We start from the raw sequence: 20,288 nt of genomic DNA, 5'->3' as shown, positions 1-20,288 counted from the left end.
GGCCATCATGAAACTTAAATTCTAACTGGGGAGACACAAACATGATAAATAAATAAAGCTTTATGAATAGATGGTGATGGCTGATATGAAGAAAAATAGAGCAGGGAAAGAAAATAAGGTGAGAGGATGCATTGTAATTTTAGACAAGCTGACTGGGCTTAAGTTTCACTAAGAGGATGGTGTTTGAGTCAAGAGCTGAAAGGAGGTGAAGAAGCAATTCCTGTGGCTATCTAGAAGGAAGTACCTGGTGGAGAACAGCACGTGCAAATGCCCTGAGGCATGGGCATGCCTGGTGCTCCAAGAATGGCAAGGAGGCCAGTGTGACTGCAGAGGAGTGAGAAGAGGAGTAGGAAGTGAGGTCAGGTAAGGAAAAAGTGAGGGAGCAAGGGAAGGTCATTTAAGGCATTAGAGAGACTCTTCAGGGCTTCTGTAAACAGTTGTGCCGTGGACAAAGTACCTAAGCAATCAAGTGAATCGAGGCTGAAATCTAGCCTGTGCTCCACTCCCCCGGCCACATACCCTAGTTTAGGGCTGCTTCCACCTAGAGCAAGGAGTGCCCATGTCTTATCCACAGCAATGTGCTGTGGGGACCAGAAGGAGCCCTAGAACTTTAATTTCAGCTTTGAGAGTGAAAAGGGGAGCCACTGGGGGATTTTGAGCAAAGGAGTGCATGACCTGGCTTATATTTTACCAGGTTTGCTATAAAAGTATGTGTTTGGTTTTGAAGAATAAAGATACTGCTTCCTATAGGTCAAGAGACAAAAAATAGAAAGAGAGTAGCAGTGATTATTAGCATGGTTGGGCACTTTGGAGTCCTCTTCTAGCTAAGGCTTTATAAATCTTACTGAGGTTTATGACCATCTACAAAATATGATTTGTGCCATCATTTTAAAATTACTATATTTTAACATATGCCTCAAAACCACTTGTACGATACTTCAAAAATAACACAAAAGAAATGTCTTGGGTATTGTGAGATATGGGTCATAAAATCATAAAATTTAAGATCTAGAAGGGAACTTAATAATCCAAGAGTTGTTCCAGTTGGGTTTCTTTAAAATCCTAAACTCAACTCTTCATTTTAAATACAGCAAATCTGAGACTCTGAGAGGAAGGGTCAATATCATTTTCAAGGTCATGCAAATAATGTAGTTATGAATTATAAACATACACATCAAAATTTTTACTAACCTTCAAATATGATTTCCAAATATGCATTACTTTTTTTAAAACAAATAGTTTGTTCCAAAAAGGATTTGAGGTTTACAGGTTTAAATAACAAATATAATTTACAGCCTAATTTATGAAAAGTGCTGCATGTACGAAATTGTCTTGAGTGCTTTAAATTGGAAAGAAATAATGAAAGACTGAACTAAGGCTTTAGGTTTAATCTCATAATTTCCAGGATGTAAATTTTCCTATCAGGAAAAAGGTTCTCCAGTTTATTTTTTAGTGTCAGTAATAATAATAATAATAATAATCCCTTATATATGCATGGTGCTTTCTAGTTTACAAAATCTTTTACTTTAGTATTTCATTTGAGTTTCACTGCATGGAAGAAAGTATTATCTATACTATAGGTATTAGGAAATTGAGTCACACAGAACTAAAGGAATTTGCCCAAAGTGACATGGTAAGTTAGCAACAAAAGAAAGACTAGAAGCTGGGTGCAATACCAGTTTATTGCACTTTCGACTCTACTAAACTGCCCCTTCCTAGTACATGTGTACTATGTTGATTTTAAAATACAGATTGAGGCCGGGTGCAGTGGCTTATGCCTGTAATCCCAGTACTTTGGAAGGCCAAGGTAGGAGGATTGCTTGAGCCCAGTAGTTTGAGACCAGGCTGGATAACATAACCTGGCATGGTGGCACACCCCTATAGTCCCAGCCACTCAGGAAGCTGAGGTGGGAGAATCACTGAGCCCAAGAGATTGAGGCTGCAGTGAGCTACAATCACACCACTGCACTCCAGCCTGGGTGCCAGCAAGATCCTGTCTCAAAACACACAAACAAAAAAAACAAAAAATAGGTTGAGTGTTCCTGATCTGAACTGCTTGGGACCAGAAGTATTTCAGATTTCAGATTTTTTTCAGATTTTGGAATATTTACATATACATAATGATATATCTTGGGGATGGGACTCAAGTCTAAACATGAAATTCATTTATGTTTCATATATACTTTACACACAGCTTGAAAGTAATTTTACACACTATTTTCAATAATTTTGTGCATGAAACAAAGTTTTGACTGCATTTTGATTGTGACCCATCACATGAGGTCAGGGGTGAAATTACCCACCTGTGGCATCATGTCAGAGCTCAAAAACTTTCAGATTTTGGGGGCATTTCATATTTCAGATTTTCAGATTAGGGATGCTCAATGTGTAAAGACAAGTAATACCATATTAAGGGATCTCGTTTTGCATTGGTCATCTTCAGGAAGTTCCTCTAACAAGAAAAAGTAAGTAGCTTCTAGAAACTGGAAGGCCATAATACACCTGGTAGAATTATTATGTCAAATTCACATTTTTAATCATATTAATGAATGGAATTTGTTGATGTTCAGGTAATCCACCCATTTATCGTTTTTGGAAAGACAATCTTCAGCATAAAGACAGCTCTGTACCTAACACTGGTACGGCACGTATGGTAGAAACAACTGCCTATGCTTTACTCACCAGTCTGAACTTGAAAGATATAAATTATGTTAACCCAGTCATCAAATGGCTATCAGAAGAGCAGAGGTATGGAGGTGGCTTTTATTCAACCCAGGTAACATTTCTTTGTCTTGTTTCATCTCCCTGTAGACATTTTTATTTTCTCCCCCACCACACTCATCTGGCCTCCATGCCTTTGTCCACCAAATGAGCATGCAATAGATATGAATAATGCCTAGAATTGAAGGACCCCTACAGGTTATCTGCGTCAACACTCTTATTATACAGAAGAGGAAATTAGCCCAGGGAGTTTTACTCAGGGAATTCATGGCAGAGCCAGAATCAGAACTCATGTCTCCTGACTTTAAGCCCAGTACTTCCTTCATGATTCTAAATCACCATGAAAGGCTAGTAAGGTTATTGGCAATTATATCATATCCTATGTAATAAATAGTGGTTGCCATGTAGACAAAGGTACTGATGCTCCTTCTCCACAACGAAATAAATAAAAAGTGGGAGAAATACTGATTGTTACATGTTAATCTATCTAGCTATTTAATGTAAACTCATTTGAGTATGTATTTTTATTACAACTAATTATTATGTAGTCGTATAATACATGTTTATATTCAAAGTTTAGATCGAATGTTAATATCTTCCCTGTTGCCTGGATGTTTAGATAATGATGGAGTGTGTATATTTATATATATGTAATTTAGATGTAGAGAGGGCCTTCAGTATTAATTTACTGACCATGTAATGTGTTTTATTTTGGGTACAATTATAGGGTTAGCAGAAAAGACTGCCCTATTGATTAGCATTTGCCGCCACAGATATAGGCAGAGGGAATGGCCACATTGTTTAACATCTCTGATCTAGTCATGTTTCTCAGTTTTATAGATGAGAAAGATGAGGTCCAGAAAGATAAAGTTTATTCATTTATTCCTTCAACAAATATTTATGTACCTGCTAAATGCAATGGACATTGCCTTAGTCCATTGTGTGTTGCTGTAACAGAAAAAACGACACACTGGATAATTTACAATGGACAGAAATTTATTACCTCATGGTTCTGGGTCCTAGGAAGTCCAAGATCAGGGGGGCTGCACCTGGTGAAGGCATTCTTGTTGCATTATTCCATGGTGGAAGGGCAAAGAGAAGGCAGAGTGGAGGGTTGGTGGGAGTGGAGTATAAACTCATCTTTTTATAACAAATTCACTTCTATAATAAGCAGCATTAATCCATTTATGAAAGTGGTACGCCCCATGACCCAAACACCTCCCATTAGGCCTCACCTCCTAACACTGCCACATTGGGGACCAAGCTTTCCAACACATGAACTTTGGGGGACACATTCAAACCACAGCAGGCACCAAGAAAAATATATTACCTACTTGCCTCACAAATCTTATATTGCAGTGGGGTAGGCCAACAATAAACTATAAATAAAAGCATTACAAATTGAGATGAATGCTAGAAAGGGCAAAAAGGGAACCTTAAAACAGAGAATAACGGGAAAGGGGAGTTTATGGCCTTGTTGTGGAGATACTTAAGGTCAGACTAAAGGATGAGGAAGAGATAATTGTTCAAAGACTCAGATGAATTCTGCAAACAGTGACTTGCCTGAGGTTACATTTGCAGAATATATAGAGGACCCAGATCTGAGGCCACACTTCCTTCCTGTCCCTGCTAACAGCATCTTTATTGAGGAGGGAGAGACCTTTCTTCCACCTCCACAATGGGGCTCTTAACCAGTCTTACTGAGTCAGCTGGAGTTTCATCTCCAGACAATGCTGCCCTACCCTCTCATAAAAAGGGCATTTGTAAATAGGGAGTACATAAATAAACTAAACATATTTTTGTGCCTTGCTGATTGCTGACAGGACACAATCAATGCCATTGAGGGCCTGACGGAATATTCACTCCTGGTTAAACAACTCCGCTTGAGTATGGACATCGATGTTTCTTACAAGCATAAAGGTGCCTTACATAATTATAAAATGACAGACAAGAATTTCCTTGGGAGGCCAGTAGAGGTAAATGAAGAACTTTCTGTAGTATTTTACAATTGGCTGAGACCATTGAAATCATCTGTTCCACTCTTTATTTTATAAATCTATCTCTTCACTACTTAAACATATATTGAGTGTCAGCTATGTCCTAAACAGGGATGCCTGCTATATCCTGGGCACTGAGGATTCAAAAATAAAACACAAACAATCAGCGTAGTGCAGGGAGATTGTCATTTAAGCAGATAGTGAAAAATAAGAGTCTTGATAGGTACATGGAAGTACAGAGGGGCCCTCCTGATCCTGGCTGAAAGATGGAGGGAGTTTGTCAGATGTGTCCAGATGTGTGGGTTAAATCTGAAAAAATCAGAATGAGTTAGCCAAGTGAAGAAAAAGGAAGAACATTCCAGACATAGATAACAGCGCACAGAGCAGTACAGTGAGCGTAGGAGGGAAGGCATGTCTGGGAGGCTGCTGGTGGTCCCTTCTGGCCCTGGTCATACATGCAGACTGTGGCCAGGTTGGAGTTGGCCTTTAGGGTCCCCAGCTCCTTGCCCCATGTCCTTTGCTACTGCTGGATTTTTAAAGGTGGTAACTTTGATGGCTTATGAAAATTTCACAAAGAACAAGACATGTTGGAAAAACTGGGTTCTATATTAATATTAGCTGCCCACATATAGCTGCTGATACATATTTTTCTAATTACTGTGTTTGCATTATTTTAAAGTATATTTAAATGTACAGTAATTGGAAATAATCCTCATTGTTGACATCCTTCACAAATTGGTGTTTGTTAAAAGTAAACAAGCATGAGAAATAATTTTTTTTTTTTGAGATGGAGTTTCGCTCTTGTTGCCCAGGCTGGAGTGCAATGGCGCAACCTCGGCTCACTGCAACCTCCTGGGTTCAAGCAATTCTCCTGCCTCAGCCTCCAAAGCAGGCGGGATTATAGGCGCCTGCCACCACACCTGGCTCATTTTTTGTATTTTTGGTAGATATGGGGTTTCACCATTTGGCCAGGCTGGTCTCAAACTCCTGACCTCTGGTGATCCACCCACCTTGGCCTCCCAAAGTGCTGGGATTACAGGTGTGAGCCACCATGCCCAGCAGAGAAATAAAATTTAATGCAAAAATTGCAAACTGGTGGCCCATACTGAAAAAAAAGAATATGGATATAAACATAGACATAGATATATGCCAACATTTAAGGATCCAGATATTTCAAATAAAAACCTGATTCCCAACTTCCCTTGATAAACCAAAAGACCTGAAAGCAAAGCACCAGGCATTGGCATGGCTTCTACAATTTACTGCAGTCCCCACCAGTCACAGGACGTATGCATGTGCATTTATGTTCATACCTGCTTTGTGCCCGGGCCTCTGCAGGCATTTGTGCTTGTGGTCCCTAGTTTGGGAATATGTCTCCTTTCCCTGGGATCATTTAGAGTTCACCGGAGATTCATGTTCTGAGTCTAAGCTCTAAGAAGGATCTCTTGACCTTCCAGCTACCTGAGGTAGCTGAAATTATTCTTCTCTATAGGGATAATGCTGTAAGAGGCCTCTTGTCATCCTAACAAAATTTAAACCCCAGCCCAGGATGCTGCTTCCATGTAAAACCTGGGCTGTTATTATCCAGTGTGGAATTTTCTACTCCAGCATTTCCTGAAATGTGTTCCATGAAAGAGTGTTAGGTGGTTGAGTGTGCATTAATTAAGTTAAACAAATTAATTTAAATTAAGTTAAACAAGTTCTTTAATCCAGAATTCCCCTGTTCTGTAACATGTATGTGATTAAGTGTGGTGACTCTGGGTGTGAAAAGGGGCAGAGGCAGGGCACAGTGCACAGCATTTCCCAAACTTATTTGTCATGCATGCTTTTCACATGCAGTATCTCAAGACACCTGTTTTCCAACAAATGCTGCTATATTCTATCAGGGAGAACAAGAATGTTGACCTACTTTCCTACATTTACTAAAATTTGAAGGAAGGATTGAGAAACTTTAACATATGCCCAATCCATCTTGCATTATTGTGCTAAGCAAAGGAAAGGGGAGGCTTGGAGTAAAGGAAGTGCCAACCCCTCGGGCTCAAAATTATCTCTCCTGTACTTTCCACAAATTAGGGAGCATTTGGATGACAGAGTTTCTCTGGAGAGGAGAATGACTTAACTCCGTTTATGTCTTCAGTTTCCTCCTAGCAGAGTGGGAAGAAGAGCAGCAGCAACTAAGGATTTGGCAGGCTTGAGTGGGGTGCTAGTGGTTTGGGGTGGGGTACCAGGGGTTTCTGCAAACAAAGGCGGTGACAAGTGGAAAAGATAAATCATCAAGAGATGGAAAAGGGGTGCAAAGGAGGAGCTCAGAGAGGACCAAAGATAGATGCACCCGCTTTCAAGTTATGTGGAGGTTCCCTGCTCTGGGTTCTAATGAAAACGATCTCCATTGGCACACAGGATGCTGATTCCTGAGCTAGGCACAGAAAGGAATTTATTCAGTTGGCAAAAGGAGATGAAGATCCAGATTTACCATAGCCATATGTAAATGAAAATGTAACCAGAAGTGACCTCTGACATGTTGCTTTTGTTGGTTCACTCAGGAGATCTCAGACATCTTATTTACATGTAGAAGGGAAAGGGGAAATACCAGCCTTGTTTAGCACCTGCCATGGGCATAGGATTTTCAGTGTCTCATCCAGTTACTCTCAGAAGAGCTCTGAGAGAGGAGGCTGGTACATGTCAACCCACTTTTCATAGCTCTATCCTCCCTCCCTATCAAATGATGAAAGAAAGCATGGTTTGTTTCTCTATTATCTTTCCAGGTGCTTCTCAATGATGACCTCATTGTCAGTACAGGATTTGGCAGTGGCTTGGCTACAGTACATGTAAGTATTTAATTGATATCCAATAACGAGTTATGTGTCCATTTGTACTAGGTAACATAAAAGTTAGGAGCTTTGCCACAAAGTCACAGAAATCTGGGCTTGGGTAACCATGACTAAAGTGGGATTCACTTATGTAAATCTTTCTAGCAATCTTTGTAACTATCCTCACAATTTTTTTGAAAATAACAATGTTGGTCAGGCATGGTGGCTCACGCCTTTAATCCCAGCACTTTGGGAGGCCTAGGCGGGCAGACCACGAGGTCAGGAGATCAAGACCACCCTGGCTAACACGGTGAAACCCCGTCTGTACTAAAAATACAAAAAATTAGCCGGGCATGGTGGCGTGCGCCTGTATTCCCAGCTACTCAGAGGCTGAGGCAGGAGAATCACTTGAACCTGGGAGGCAGAGGTTGCAGTGAGCCGAGATGGCACAACTGCACTGCAGCCTGGCAACAGAGCAAGACTCCGTCTCACACACACAAAAAAATTTAATCCTTATATGTATACATTCTGTATACTTATAGAAATTATATATATTTATAGAGATATATAATTTTATGATTATATATGTGTATACGCATATGGCATATGTGTATATACATATATCTGTGTACATATGTGCATTGTATATATATATGTTTTCTATCCCATCTCATTTATCCAGGATTTTGGGGGATTTATGTGTTATTCATAAAGACTTATTTCTTCATTTTAGCCACTTGGCAGTTGCAATTTTTTTTCTTTTTTTTTTTTTTTTTGAGATGGAGTCTTGCTCTGTCACCCAGGCTAGAGTGCAGTGGTGCAATCTTGGCTCACTGCAACCTCCGCCTCCCAGGTTCAAGCAATTCTCCTGCCTCAGCCTCCCAAGTAGGTGGGATTACAGGCACATGCCACTACGCCTGGCTAATTTTTGTATTTTTAGTAGAGACGGAGTTTCACCATGTTGACCAGGCTGGTCTCAAACTCCTGACCTCAAGTGATCCGTCCACCTTGACCTCCCAATGTGCTGGGATTATGGGCGCGAGCCACCACGCCCAGCTGGCAGGTGCAAATTTTTCTAGGCTGTTTAAGTATTTTCATGCATTCTTAAATTGCATGTTCTGAGCATAAATTAACATCCTATTAATAATTTTAATCACGCTCTTATCTTTAGTGCATTCATTCCTTCAAGGACTGTTGTAAGTTTATATGGGGGAGGAGAGATTGTCCACTTTTCTGCCACTTCTGGTTGGTGTCAATATATCTACTTCTGGCAGCACCTCTGCCCATTCATACACACCTATAATTTGTTGTTTGCCATGATGGCGTGTGGCTGGAAGAAACCCACACTTCTTAGCCTTGTGCTGTTGTGTGTAAAATTAAAGTGGAAAGGTTCAAAACAAGAACCTTGGGAACTCTCCTGTAGAGTGAGGTGCCCAGATTTGACTGCATGGAATTTAGACCAAGCTTCTGACCGGCCAGAAGTCATTTTTTGCTTACTTTGGGCCTCTCAGGTTTAGATTATGGAGTTTGCTTAAAGTCCAGCTGCTGGAAAAATGAGTCACTAATGTACACCATTTGTGCTGGATTATGAAAATGATCCTTCGAGCATCCCATCTGCAGCAGCAGTGTTGCCATAATACCTTTGTCACTTTCCCACTTTAAATAGAATCTTCTTGCTTACTTGTCCCCAATGTAGGTAACAACTGTAGTTCACAAAACCAGTACCTCTGAGGAAGTTTGCAGCTTTTATTTGAAAATCGATACTCAGGATATTGAAGGTAAAAACAGCAGGATTTACGCTGTAATTTTGGCTAAAAATAAAGCATGTGTATAAATAGAGAGCTTCTCTGATTAGTAAAAATGTGCTTACTCAAAAAGTGAAATTTCTTAACCAAATACTTTAGCAGGTTGACATCCAAGTAAATATTACTTCCATTTTTTACAATAGATAACTCTTTAATATAGTCGGAAGCTAATATTAAATAACAATGACTAAGCTAAATGTATTTGCTATTGATCAATAAATTGTTTTGACTATGTTATTTTTAAAGAGTGTAACTAGTTGTAAAGCCACATTAAGGTCTAATTCCAGAACCAGGAATTTCTGTTACTTTTGTGTTAGCCTTCCAATCTGGGACCTTGAATTCTCTTATCACCCTGTTAGTTTTCCATCCCTTAGCCTTTCTGTATTCCAAGGGGCCCAGAAAATAAACATTTCTCTGCCTCCATCTTTAACTTAGTCTCTCCTGTACCCCTTTCTTTTTTAGTCTCTCCTGTACCATCCTTTCTTTAAATGTACCCCTGACCCTTTTATTTAACCCAAGGCCCTCACATCCCTCTGCTGGTTGGTTCTCCCTTCCTGGTCCAAAAGCAAGTCCACTTGCACACTCCAGTCCTCCTGGTCTCCCCATTGCCTCCAGGGTCAGAATGAATGTTGCTGCCTCTGCCCTGATATTTTCCATCTATTGCTCAGAAGCCTGTTCCTACAGGAAACTTCCCAACTACCAGCAAATTAAGGCATCTGTTCTTCCTCCCTCCAACATCCCCCAAACATATTACCAATACATATTTATCTTTAATAATTTCTTCATTAAATTATAAGTTATTTGAGAGCAATGAACTGTTAATTATTTAAAGACTTCCTGGTATTGTCAATAGCCATGAATTTCCATTAGAACCACTGAAAGTATCTAAACTTCCAAATCACAAATCATTTTTAAGTGTGTTCAAAGATTTGCTCATTAATGATTCTGTTCTGACAGGTTCCAAAGCAGCTGAAAACAGTTTACTCTTATATTTGTCTGTTTGTTTTCTTGTCTTATGTGCCAGCATCCCACTACAGAGGCTACGGAAACTCTGATTACAAACGCATAGTAGCATGTGCCAGGTGAGCCTATTTCCACAAAGGGGAGCATAGACTCCAAGTTCTCATTTTTGTTAACGTATTGTTTCTTTACATATTTTCAAATTTTGGTATGTCCAGAAGATACAAAATTGTTCAATTGTTTAAAAATGCAGAACATATATATTCTTAAATTGCTACTTACCATAAAAAACAGCCTTGGTTTTGCTCATAATAGTTTTCTCTGTCTGTTTTGTCTTCTGATTCAAACAGTGTAATATTAATTTTTTCTCTTTCAGAGGGATAGAAATGTGATTTAAAAAATTAGGAAAAAAATATAAAAGATTCTCTCAAAAACAGCCCCTACTCTCTTACTTAGAAAAATCACATTTACCTAACAAAATCCATTATCAGCTAGATTCTCAACTCAAGCTGCACATTGAAGTCAGCTGGAGAGCTCTTAGAGCTGTCCAAATGTCCCGGGCTCCAGAGGTCATTCTAATGGTAGCCAGGGTTGAGAACCACTGATGTTAAACCCTCTCCCAACTAAATACCGAGGCCTCAATTGGCCACTGTATTAGTTTCCTGTTATTGCTAGGTAACAATTTATTGCAAATGTAATGGTTTAAACCAACACAGTTTTACTATCTTGCAATTCTAGAGGTGAGAAGTCCCAAAATCAAGGAGCTGGGTAGGGCTGTATTCCTTCTGGAAGCTCTAGAATTTCTTTGCCTATTCCAGATTCTAGAGGCTACCTGTGTTCTTTGGCTTGTGGCCCCTCTCTGTCTTCAATACCAGTGTCACAGCATCTTCCAATCTGACTGTGACCTCTGCTTCCATCATCACACCTCCTTCTCTGACTCTCCTGCTTCCTTTCCTCATAAAGATTCTTGTCTTTACATTAGGCCTGCACAAATAACCCCCTATCTCAAATCCTTAATTTAATCACATCTGTAAAGTTCTCTTTGCCACATAAGGTAACATATTCACAGGTTCAGGGGATTAGGACATGGACACCCTTGGGGGCCATTATTCTGCTTACCACAGCCACCATCCTAAAACATTTATGAAAGTGTAGGTTTTTTGCCGGGTACAGTGGCTCATACTGTAATCCCAACACTTTGGGAGGCCAAGGAGAGAGAATTGCTTGAGCCCAGGAGTTCAAGAACAGCCTGGGCACCATAGCCAGACCCCATCTCTACAGCAAATTTTAAAAATTAGCCAGACATGGTGGCACACACTTGTAGTCCCAGCTACTCAGGAGGCTGAGGCAGGAGGATTGCTTGAGCCCAGGAGGTTGAGGCTGCAGTGAGCTGTGACCACGCCACTGCACTCCAACCTGGACGAAAAATTGAGACCTTGTCTCCAAATAAAAAAAAAAAGAAAAAGAAAAGAATATGTAGGTATTTGAAAATATGTATATACTTTTGGCTTTGGTGATCACACAGTGTGATCAGAGAGTGGTAGAGCCAGGACTGAAACACAGACTTCTTCCCTGTTCTTTCCATCGTCCCTCAGTCCTTTCTATTGTGTTCTATTTTCTTAACTCTTGTATTGTCAATAACAGTGATATCTGTGGATGGCATTTTGCTGATTTTACTTATAATCATGCACCCAGTGTGGATAACTTGGAAATTCAATAGTGTTGTGCAAAAGATGAGAGCTGAGAAGGACCTTAGGGATGATATCATAATCCTCTTGTTTTGGAAATGAAGAAACTAAGACCCAAAGAGATAAAGTCGCCTGCCAAATGCTCACAGAGTTAGAGGCAGAGCTAGGGGCTCAAATCCCCAACCTCTGATGTTCAATCCAGTATCTAAACCACATCTTTTTTTTTTTTTTTTTTGAGATGGAGTTTCACTCTGTCTCCCAGGCTGGAGTGCAGTGGCGTGATCTCGGCTCACTACAACCTCCACCTCCCAGGTTCAGGTGATTCTCCTTCCTCAGCCTCCCGAGTAGCTGGGATTACAGGCACATGCCACCATGCCTGGCTAATTTTTTTATTTTTAGTAGAGATGGGGTTTCAGCATGTTGGCCAGGCTGGTCTTGAACTCCTAACCTCAGCTGGTCTGCCCACCTTAGCCTCCCAAAGTGCTGGGATTACAAGCCTGAGCCACCACGCTCAGCCTAAACCACCTCTTTCAATCAGTGTAATCTAAGACCACTAATCCCAAGGAACAGCACATAGTTTCTCCCTGCCTCCCTCCCAGCTGTTTCCCAGTCTTCTCTATGTCCCAAGCCCAATCGCTTCTTAGGATTCCTTCACTATTCAGCCCTATTTCCTTCCTCATCAGCATTTCTTCCTTCCAGCATTTCCTACTTCCTTCTGTGGCCAGTCCCTGCTCTCTGTTCCCGCTCAAACATCTTTCCTCATTCCCTAATGTCTTTCCAGTAAGGTCGCCCTTTCCCAGGCAGCTTCTTTCCCCCTAAATGCCATTCCTACCCTTGGGCACCTACCAGCTGGGGAGGAGCATGATCACAATTACCTTTAAATTTGTAACAGTTGTCAAAGGGAAGTGTAAGCAAACTTCTGGGCAGAGCTCGAATCAGTGCCTGGGACCCTACAGGGAGGCATCTAGACTTGCAATAAAGAAGAGCTCTCTGATAGGGTGAGACACCTGTGGGATAGCCTCTACCAGTAAGAACTCCAGTGACCTTCAGGAAATCAGTTTACTTCTCCAATCCTCTTCTATAAAGCAAAGATATTGCACTACCTTATCTCAAGTTTTCTGCCAGTTCTAATTATCCACAATTCTGCCGTACAGAAAAAAGCTGTTATCAAAAATTCATTCATTTGACTTCATTGTCAGGAGGCCTAATTCCAGATTATCAATATACAAAAGAAAGCAAGGAGAAATGCAATCTTGAATAGTCTATCCTTTGGTTTTTACAAATTGGGGACAAAATGTTCCAGAAAGGCGGGTGGAATATGCTTTTGGCTCTGTTGACACTGAAGTTAGGTTGGGTAAATTCCAAAAGGAACTGTGTAGTACTTATTCATGTAGGAACTTCTTTGCCTTCAAATATTCTCTCTCCTGATTAAAAAATGCCAGCATGAAGTTTCTGTGTTCAGAGGGTCTCTTTCGTGTATTTACCTTTTTACAACCTCTCTGTTGTATTCCTAAGAAAAGAAAAAAGGATTTCATTTCCCTCACAACAAAATGCCTTTGGGGAAGATTGCTGGTTTTGGCAGCAGGCAAAGGGCTTCTTGAAAGGAGGATTTCTGTTCCACCATTGAAACAGTCTCCATGGCAACCAGTCATCAAGGCTCCAGCAACCTTTTCATAGACACTCTCCACTCGGGAGGCCCTTTTCCATCCTGCTGACAAAGTGTTTGCATCTGTGAGCAAGAGTGCTCTGCTTCTACCCATCCAATTAGGGAGATGTTCGGATGTCACATTAGAGTTCCAAGTGTTTTATATTCTGTTCTAAATTGTTAATTTGGTGAAGAATAGGGTTAAATTTTTATGAGTCAGAGATTTTAGAATACTTTTCTTTATTGTGGCAAATATTACATCTATGACTTCTAATGGGGACTGCTTTTATTTATTTATTTATTTATTTATTTATTTATTTATTTATTTTTGAGGCAGAGTCTTGCTCAGTTGCCCAGACTAGAGTGCAGTGGTGCGATCTCAGCTCACTGCAACCTCTGCCTCCCAGCCTCAAGCCATTCTCGTGCCTCAGCCTCTTAAGTAGCTGGGATTACAGGTGTGAGCTACCACAGCCAGCTAATTTTTGTATTTTTAGTAGAGAAGTGGTTTCACCATGTTGGCCAGGCTGGTCTCGAACTCCTGGCTTCAGCTGATCTGACTCAGCCTCTCAAAGTGCTGGGATGACAGGTGTGAGCCACCGCACCCAGCTGGGACTGCATTATATATGCTCTATGAGGTGTCATTGAGGAAAAGATATGCCCTGACCCCTCACTAACTTGCTTAGTATCTCCTCTTCCACCAACATTCATACCTGTAGGTGAGATCAATTCATTTTACCCCTTATGAAGCTGTCTTTTAATTTCTTCCTTTAATCCTGACTGCTCTCCCAAGCTTCACTCTCAAACATCCAGCTGCCTTTCAAGCATCTTGAGGTGAGGCTGGAACCTGAAATCAACTTTTACAGAATCACACTCCGTCTGTCTCTGCCCCAGCCTCAGCCCCGCCAGCCTGTCTCTTTTATGTCTTCTAACATCTCTTAATGGTAGCTCTAAGCCTCTGCCACCCAAAACCAAAGCCTGGGAATTATAAAGATAAATTTAAAACACAAACTTATACTTCTTCACAGTTAATTTTACAAATAAGAAAATGAGCTTAGAAAGGGGAAATGATTTGTGGGAATCTCAGAACTGGAATAAAACCCAAGTTTCCTGATTCTCCATTTCAGTATTCTTTTCTCTCTTACAAAACAAAAACAAAAACAAAACCCTCCCATTGTGCCCTTTTTGCATTTCCGCTTAAATTCCTACTAGCAGAATTCCTACTGAAAGGACAGTCCTTGAAACATTTTCTATATAAAGTAGCTATTATGGGAAATATAGAAAATAGAGAAAAGCATGAAAAAGAAAAGAGATAATTGCTTATAATCTCACCATCCAAAGTAGCTACTAATATTTGTGGGTTTGTTTGTTTGTTTGTTTGCTTTTAAAGAGGGATTCTCACTCTGTCGTCCAGGCTGAAGTGCAGTGCTGCGATCTCGGCGCACTGCAACCTCCGCCTCCCAGGTTCAAGCAATTCTCCTGTAGTTAGGATTACAGGTGTGTCCCACCAAGCCCGGCTAATTTTTTTTGTATTTTTAGTAAAGACGGAGTTTCACCGTGTTAGCCAGGCTGGTCTTGAACTCCTGACCTCAAGTGATCTGCCTGCCTTGGCCTCCCAAAGTGCTGGGATTATAGGCGTAAGCCACCGTGCCTTGCCTTAGTGTATTTTCTTCCAGCTTTTCCTGGACATGTTTATTGAATCTCTTTTCAACATACAACTGATTTTTTCCTTGGAATATGCTTCATTAGAAAATGAACTAACGTGAGAATCCAAAGACCTGGATTCTTCTGTAGCTCTGCATGAATTAGCCATGTGACCTTGAACCAGTGCCTTACTCTCATCCTGAGTTTCCCCAGCTAGTTAGCTTGGTGTGGATGACTTCTGTGTTCCAGTAGAGTGGTCTGTTGAGATTATTGATCAAGTGAGGAAAGAGAATAGATGACTCAAAGATCTCTTGCAACTCTAAAGTCAGAGATTTTAACCCATACATTGTAGAAAAGCAAATAAATGGAGACCCAAATTTAAAAATTAAGGTCTACTAAGGAAGAGTGTCCTTTCTTAAAGACTCTTATTCACTTATTTATTATATTTTCTAACCTCTTTTTTATTTTAGCTACAAGCCCAGCAGGGAAGAATCATCATCTGGATCCTCTCATGCGGTGATGGACATCTCCTTGCCTACTGGAATCAGTGCAAATGAAGAAGACTTAAAAGCCGTATGTGTTTTCTTTTAAATCGTGTTGTGAATGCTTCATTTTCTTTTCTGAATTATTTTATAGACAATTTTACTTTCTTTCATTTGAATATACCACTTTTATAGAATCACCCAGAATATTTTTTTTTTTTTGGAGGTGGATTTTCACTCTTGTTGCCCAGGCTGGAGTGTGATGCAGTCTTGGCTCATTGCAACCGCACCTCTCGGGTTCAAGTGATTCTCCTGCCTCAGCCTCCCGAGTAGCTGGGATTACAGGCATGCACCACCACACCTGGCTAATTTTTTTGTATGTTTAGTAGAGACGAGGTTTCTCCATGTCAGTCAGGCTGGTCTCGAACTCCTGACATCAGGGTGATCCACTGGCTTTGGCCTCCCAAACTGCTGGGATTACAGGCGTGAGCCACCAGGCCTGGCCAGAATATTCTTTTCAAAACATAATTAACCTAAGTTTTGATTTATCAAAGTGAAGCAGAAGCATACACTAGCATGCTCTGTAAAATATGAGTTTATATGCTAATGTGTTCAGACTTTTTCAAGAAGAGGAACTGCTCTTCAATTTCTTTGAATTACAGATCACATCCCTGCATTGTGCTATCTCATCAACAGGTGAATGCATTTAAACAAAAAGATAATGAAATGAAATTCAAGCTTCTCTCTTTTCCCCCTTAGCTTGTGGAAGGGGTGGATCAACTATTCACTGATTACCAAATCAAAGATGGACATGTTATTCTGCAACTGAATTCGGTAAGCTCCACCTGCAACCATTTTTCCTTTACTATTACTATTCAAAATATACAGGCTAAAAGATTATAAATATCATCTCTCCATAATTTCCTTAAATCCTTGAATTTGTTAAACAGATTCCCTCCAGTGATTTCCTTTGTGTACGATTCCGGATATTTGAACTCTTTGAAGTTGGGTTTCTCAGTCCTGCCACTTTCACAGTGTACGAATACCACAGACCAGGTAATCAACTCCATGCTAACATTTCTTCAGAAGAATACTTTGTATTCTTTCCAGAACATTTAGAAATCCACTAGAGTCCTGTAAATTTTATGTATTGCCTCTCTTAGGGACCACTCTTCATGAAAGTCCCAATTTGAACATTCAAAACTACTGCATACAAAATATTGTACATAAACTACTTCTTGACATTGAGCAGACCGTTTCACCTCAGTCCTCAGTTTCTTCATATTTAAAATAACTGGATTATAGTGCCTCCAACTTCAATATTCTTTGCCTCAGGTTTATCTATGGTGTTCACAGATAAATCATATCTCTCCTTTTGAGAGAAATCAACTCAATCCCCCCAGAACAACTTCTAGCCCATCTATATTCTTGTTACACTTTGCAGATAGCTCTATTATAGCAGCTGTCACATTGCATTCAATTATTTGTATGTCTTTTTCATCAACCCCAGGGTGTTTTCATTCTTGTGTCCCTAGTATCTAACGCAGCGTCGGGTATAGAATGTGAACTCAATAAATATTTATGAATGGGTGATCCCACATTTGACTATTCAGCCATTTTTGAGAATGTTATGTGGTTGGAGAGCTTATTGGATCACAAGACAGATGACTCCACCTTGGGCAGTTCTACTTGTTAGAAAATTCTTGAAGTGAACCAAAACTCTGACACCCATTCATTCTAGTTTTATATTCTGAAATCACATAGAACATACATAGTCCCTCTTCCCCTTGAGATAGATATATAGAGATACATAGATATATGCTTTTCTTCCCTTGTCCACCCTAAACAATTCCAACTCTTTCAAAAGATCCTCATGCAACATAATTTATTTTCCTCTTACTTAGAGAAGCATCAAATGTTTTATTTCTGAGAAACGAGTGTTTCAAGCACAGAACTAAGTGAAAAAGGGGAGATCTTTCTGAGGGTAGCGGAACCCTTCCCAGGACAGCCAATTCATAATTTTACCTCCCTGGGCCTTAGCTATAAAAAGAAGGGTTTAAAATAAGCAATCTCTGAGGCTCCATGTAAGACACTTGCCAATTAGTAAATGTGTTGTTCTTCAATCAAACCACTTCTCTTAACCACACTTTTGTTGCCACAGATAAACAGTGTACCATGTTTTATAGCACTTCCAATATCAAAATTCAGAAAGTCTGTGAAGGAGCCGCGTGCAAGTGTGTAGAAGGTAAACTTTATTTAACATATTTAGGCTGCATGCTTATTTAAAGCAGTCGTTCATAACCTGAGGTTAATCTGGGGGACACTGTTTGGTAAACTGTTCTTTCTCAGAAGTAGAAATGCTATCTCAGCTAATTGAAAGCTAATGATTCCTTGAGCATTGTAAAACTACATTTTCACAGTTCCTGAACAACCTGATAGTTCATGCTGTACAGAGGCAGGGAAACACCATCGAGAGGGTTGTTGAATATTATAGGGGCAACATGATGTGAGATTTTACTTTCACCTAGTCTTTTTATCATATAAGACAAGAGGCTCAGCACTGAACCACTAGCTTCTGTTCCTTTTCTCTTATACTTCCCAGTTAATGGAATTCGGTTTATTGTCCAGTTCCATTTAGTCTTTCCTAAATTGAAGAAAGCCTTCTTGGCCAAGGAAAAGATCCAGAACTCACCAATAATCAACAGCTGGCTCCATGAGGGTCTCAGTTAGTTTTGGTTTTTTCAAAATCCTCAATATCTACACATTTTCTAGGTACTTATTGTGCCATTTTATAGCTATAAATCAGTCACATTATCATTTTGGGTCCTTCAAAGGACTTCTGATTATACTCAAAATGGAAAATTTCCCCCTTTCATCAAGGGAACCACATACATTTCTAAAGACCTGAATGTGGAGTAGCCACCCAGTCTAACAATAAGTCTTATGCCAGGGGTGTCCAATCTTTTGGCTTCAGTGGGCCACATTGGAAGAAGAATTGTCTTGGGCCATACATAAAATACGCTAACACTAACAATAGCTAATGAGCTAAAACAAAAATCACAAGAAAAATTTCATAATATTTTAAGAAAGTTTACGAATTTGTGTTGTGCCGCATTCGAAGCTGCCCTGGGCTGTGTGCTGCCCACGGGCCATGGGTTAGACAAGCTTGTGACATGCTCAAGATTTTGTTTTTTGTTTTTGTTTGTTTTGTTTTCTTTATGTAATATTTCACTTTATGAAAGAAAAGAAAATGGGCAGGTCTTAGAAATCTGACATTTGTAAGGTTATATTGGGTTGTCTCTGGGCTCATGAGAAACCGTGTTTACTCCTGGAAAGAGTGTCTACTTCTTTCCATTAACCTTATTTTTACCAATTTTCACAAAATCCAGCTGATTGTGGGCAAATGCAGGAAGAATTGGATCTGACAATCTCTGCAGAGACAAGAAAACAAACAGCATGTAAACCAGAGATTGCATATGGTGAGTTCAAAAGTTCAATATAGCTCCTTTAAACATGAAATTTTATGAATATGTGTTCAGTTAGAAAGATCAAAAACTTTATATAGTGATTATATGAATACAACATTCCATGTGATCCCCTGAAGGAAAATGCCATCGATTTTTAGCATTAACATGCAAAGTTTTTATTCCTCAGCAAAGAAATGTGATTTTCATTATAAATAATAGAAGTGACATGTATACCCAGCCAGGATACTTTCCCACAATAGAGCTTTTTCAATTACAGGCACTAAAACATAGTCAAAGGGAACTTTTGAGAAGCCACAGAGGTATAAGATTTCAGTTCTGTACTCTTCCAATTGATAGACCAGAGGCAGAGGCAAAGGTGATTTAGGGGGCTTGGTTTTTAAAAAAATATCTTCAGGGTAAAAATATAAATACCAAATAATTTTTAATATATTCAAGATTGCAATCCATGTTTGAGACACTCTCCATTTGAAAAAGCAAATCTCAGTGCTTCTAGTTGTCCAGCGCTTAGAGCTAAATTAGTGTTCAAGTACAGTTGTAGCCTTGTCTCAGTTCCTGATAAAATTAGCTCCTTTGTTATCTATTCAGTTTTTGATGTTTATTGCTGGCATTTTTTGAGAGAGAGAGAGCATATTGTACACTATCTCAAATCATTTTTTCATTTTGAAATTGGAAGGGTGGAGCCGGGCGCAGTGGCTCATGCCTGTAATACCAGCACTTTGGGAGGCCGAGGTGGGTGGATCACCTGAGGTCAGGAGTTTGAGACCAGCCTGGGGCAAACATGGCAAAACCCTGTCTCTACTAAAAATACAAAAATTAGCCAAGCATAGTGGTGCGTGCCTGTAATTCCAGCTACTCAGCAGGGTGAGGCGGGAGAATCACTTGAACCCAGGAGGAGGAGGTTGCAGTGAGCCAAGATCGTGCTACTGCGCTCCAGTCTGGGCAACACCAGCAAGACTCTGTCTCAAAAAAAAAAAGAAAGAAAGAAAGAAAGAAAGAAAGAAAGAAATTTGAAGGGTGTTATTTATAAATTAAAAAAATAAACACAGCCAAT

At 40.0% G+C, this 20,288-nt stretch overlaps 1 protein-coding gene across 2 annotated transcripts in view, besides 1 other annotated feature; it reads left to right on the top strand.

Annotated features, from left to right (window-relative positions):
- The window catches only part of C5 (complement C5), a 122,531-nt gene that overhangs the window by 95,390 nt on the left and 6,853 nt on the right, over positions 1 to 20,288 (top strand). For both annotated transcript variants that reach the window (NM_001317163.2, NM_001735.3), the window contains exons 29-38: positions 2,571 to 2,776; positions 4,545 to 4,697; positions 7,484 to 7,546; positions 9,225 to 9,306; positions 10,358 to 10,415; positions 15,738 to 15,840; positions 16,509 to 16,583; positions 16,700 to 16,805; positions 17,911 to 17,994; positions 19,139 to 19,228. In NM_001317163.2, coding sequence (NP_001304092.1) covers positions 2,571 to 2,776; positions 4,545 to 4,697; positions 7,484 to 7,546; positions 9,225 to 9,306; positions 10,358 to 10,415; positions 15,738 to 15,840; positions 16,509 to 16,583; positions 16,700 to 16,805; positions 17,911 to 17,994; positions 19,139 to 19,228 — 1,020 coding nt within the window. The remainder of the gene's footprint in view (positions 1 to 2,570; positions 2,777 to 4,544; positions 4,698 to 7,483; positions 7,547 to 9,224; positions 9,307 to 10,357; positions 10,416 to 15,737; positions 15,841 to 16,508; positions 16,584 to 16,699; positions 16,806 to 17,910; positions 17,995 to 19,138; positions 19,229 to 20,288) is intronic.
- Positions 16,002 to 16,185: a silencer, noted in NCBI's record as "fragment chr9:123725569-123725752 (GRCh37/hg19 assembly coordinates)". NCBI's record gives its function as "represses an EF-1alpha promoter that drives an FKBP-Casp9 reporter gene in an ReSE screen in HepG2 liver carcinoma cells {active_cell/tissue: HepG2}" and the evidence as "EXISTENCE:reporter gene assay evidence [ECO:0000049][PMID:32094911]".

This window comes from Homo sapiens, chromosome 9 (assembly GCF_000001405.40).
Source record: "Homo sapiens chromosome 9, GRCh38.p14 Primary Assembly".
NCBI classification, from domain to species: domain Eukaryota; kingdom Metazoa; phylum Chordata; class Mammalia; order Primates; family Hominidae; genus Homo; species Homo sapiens.
This window is presented reverse-complemented; position numbering and strand designations above follow the sequence as displayed.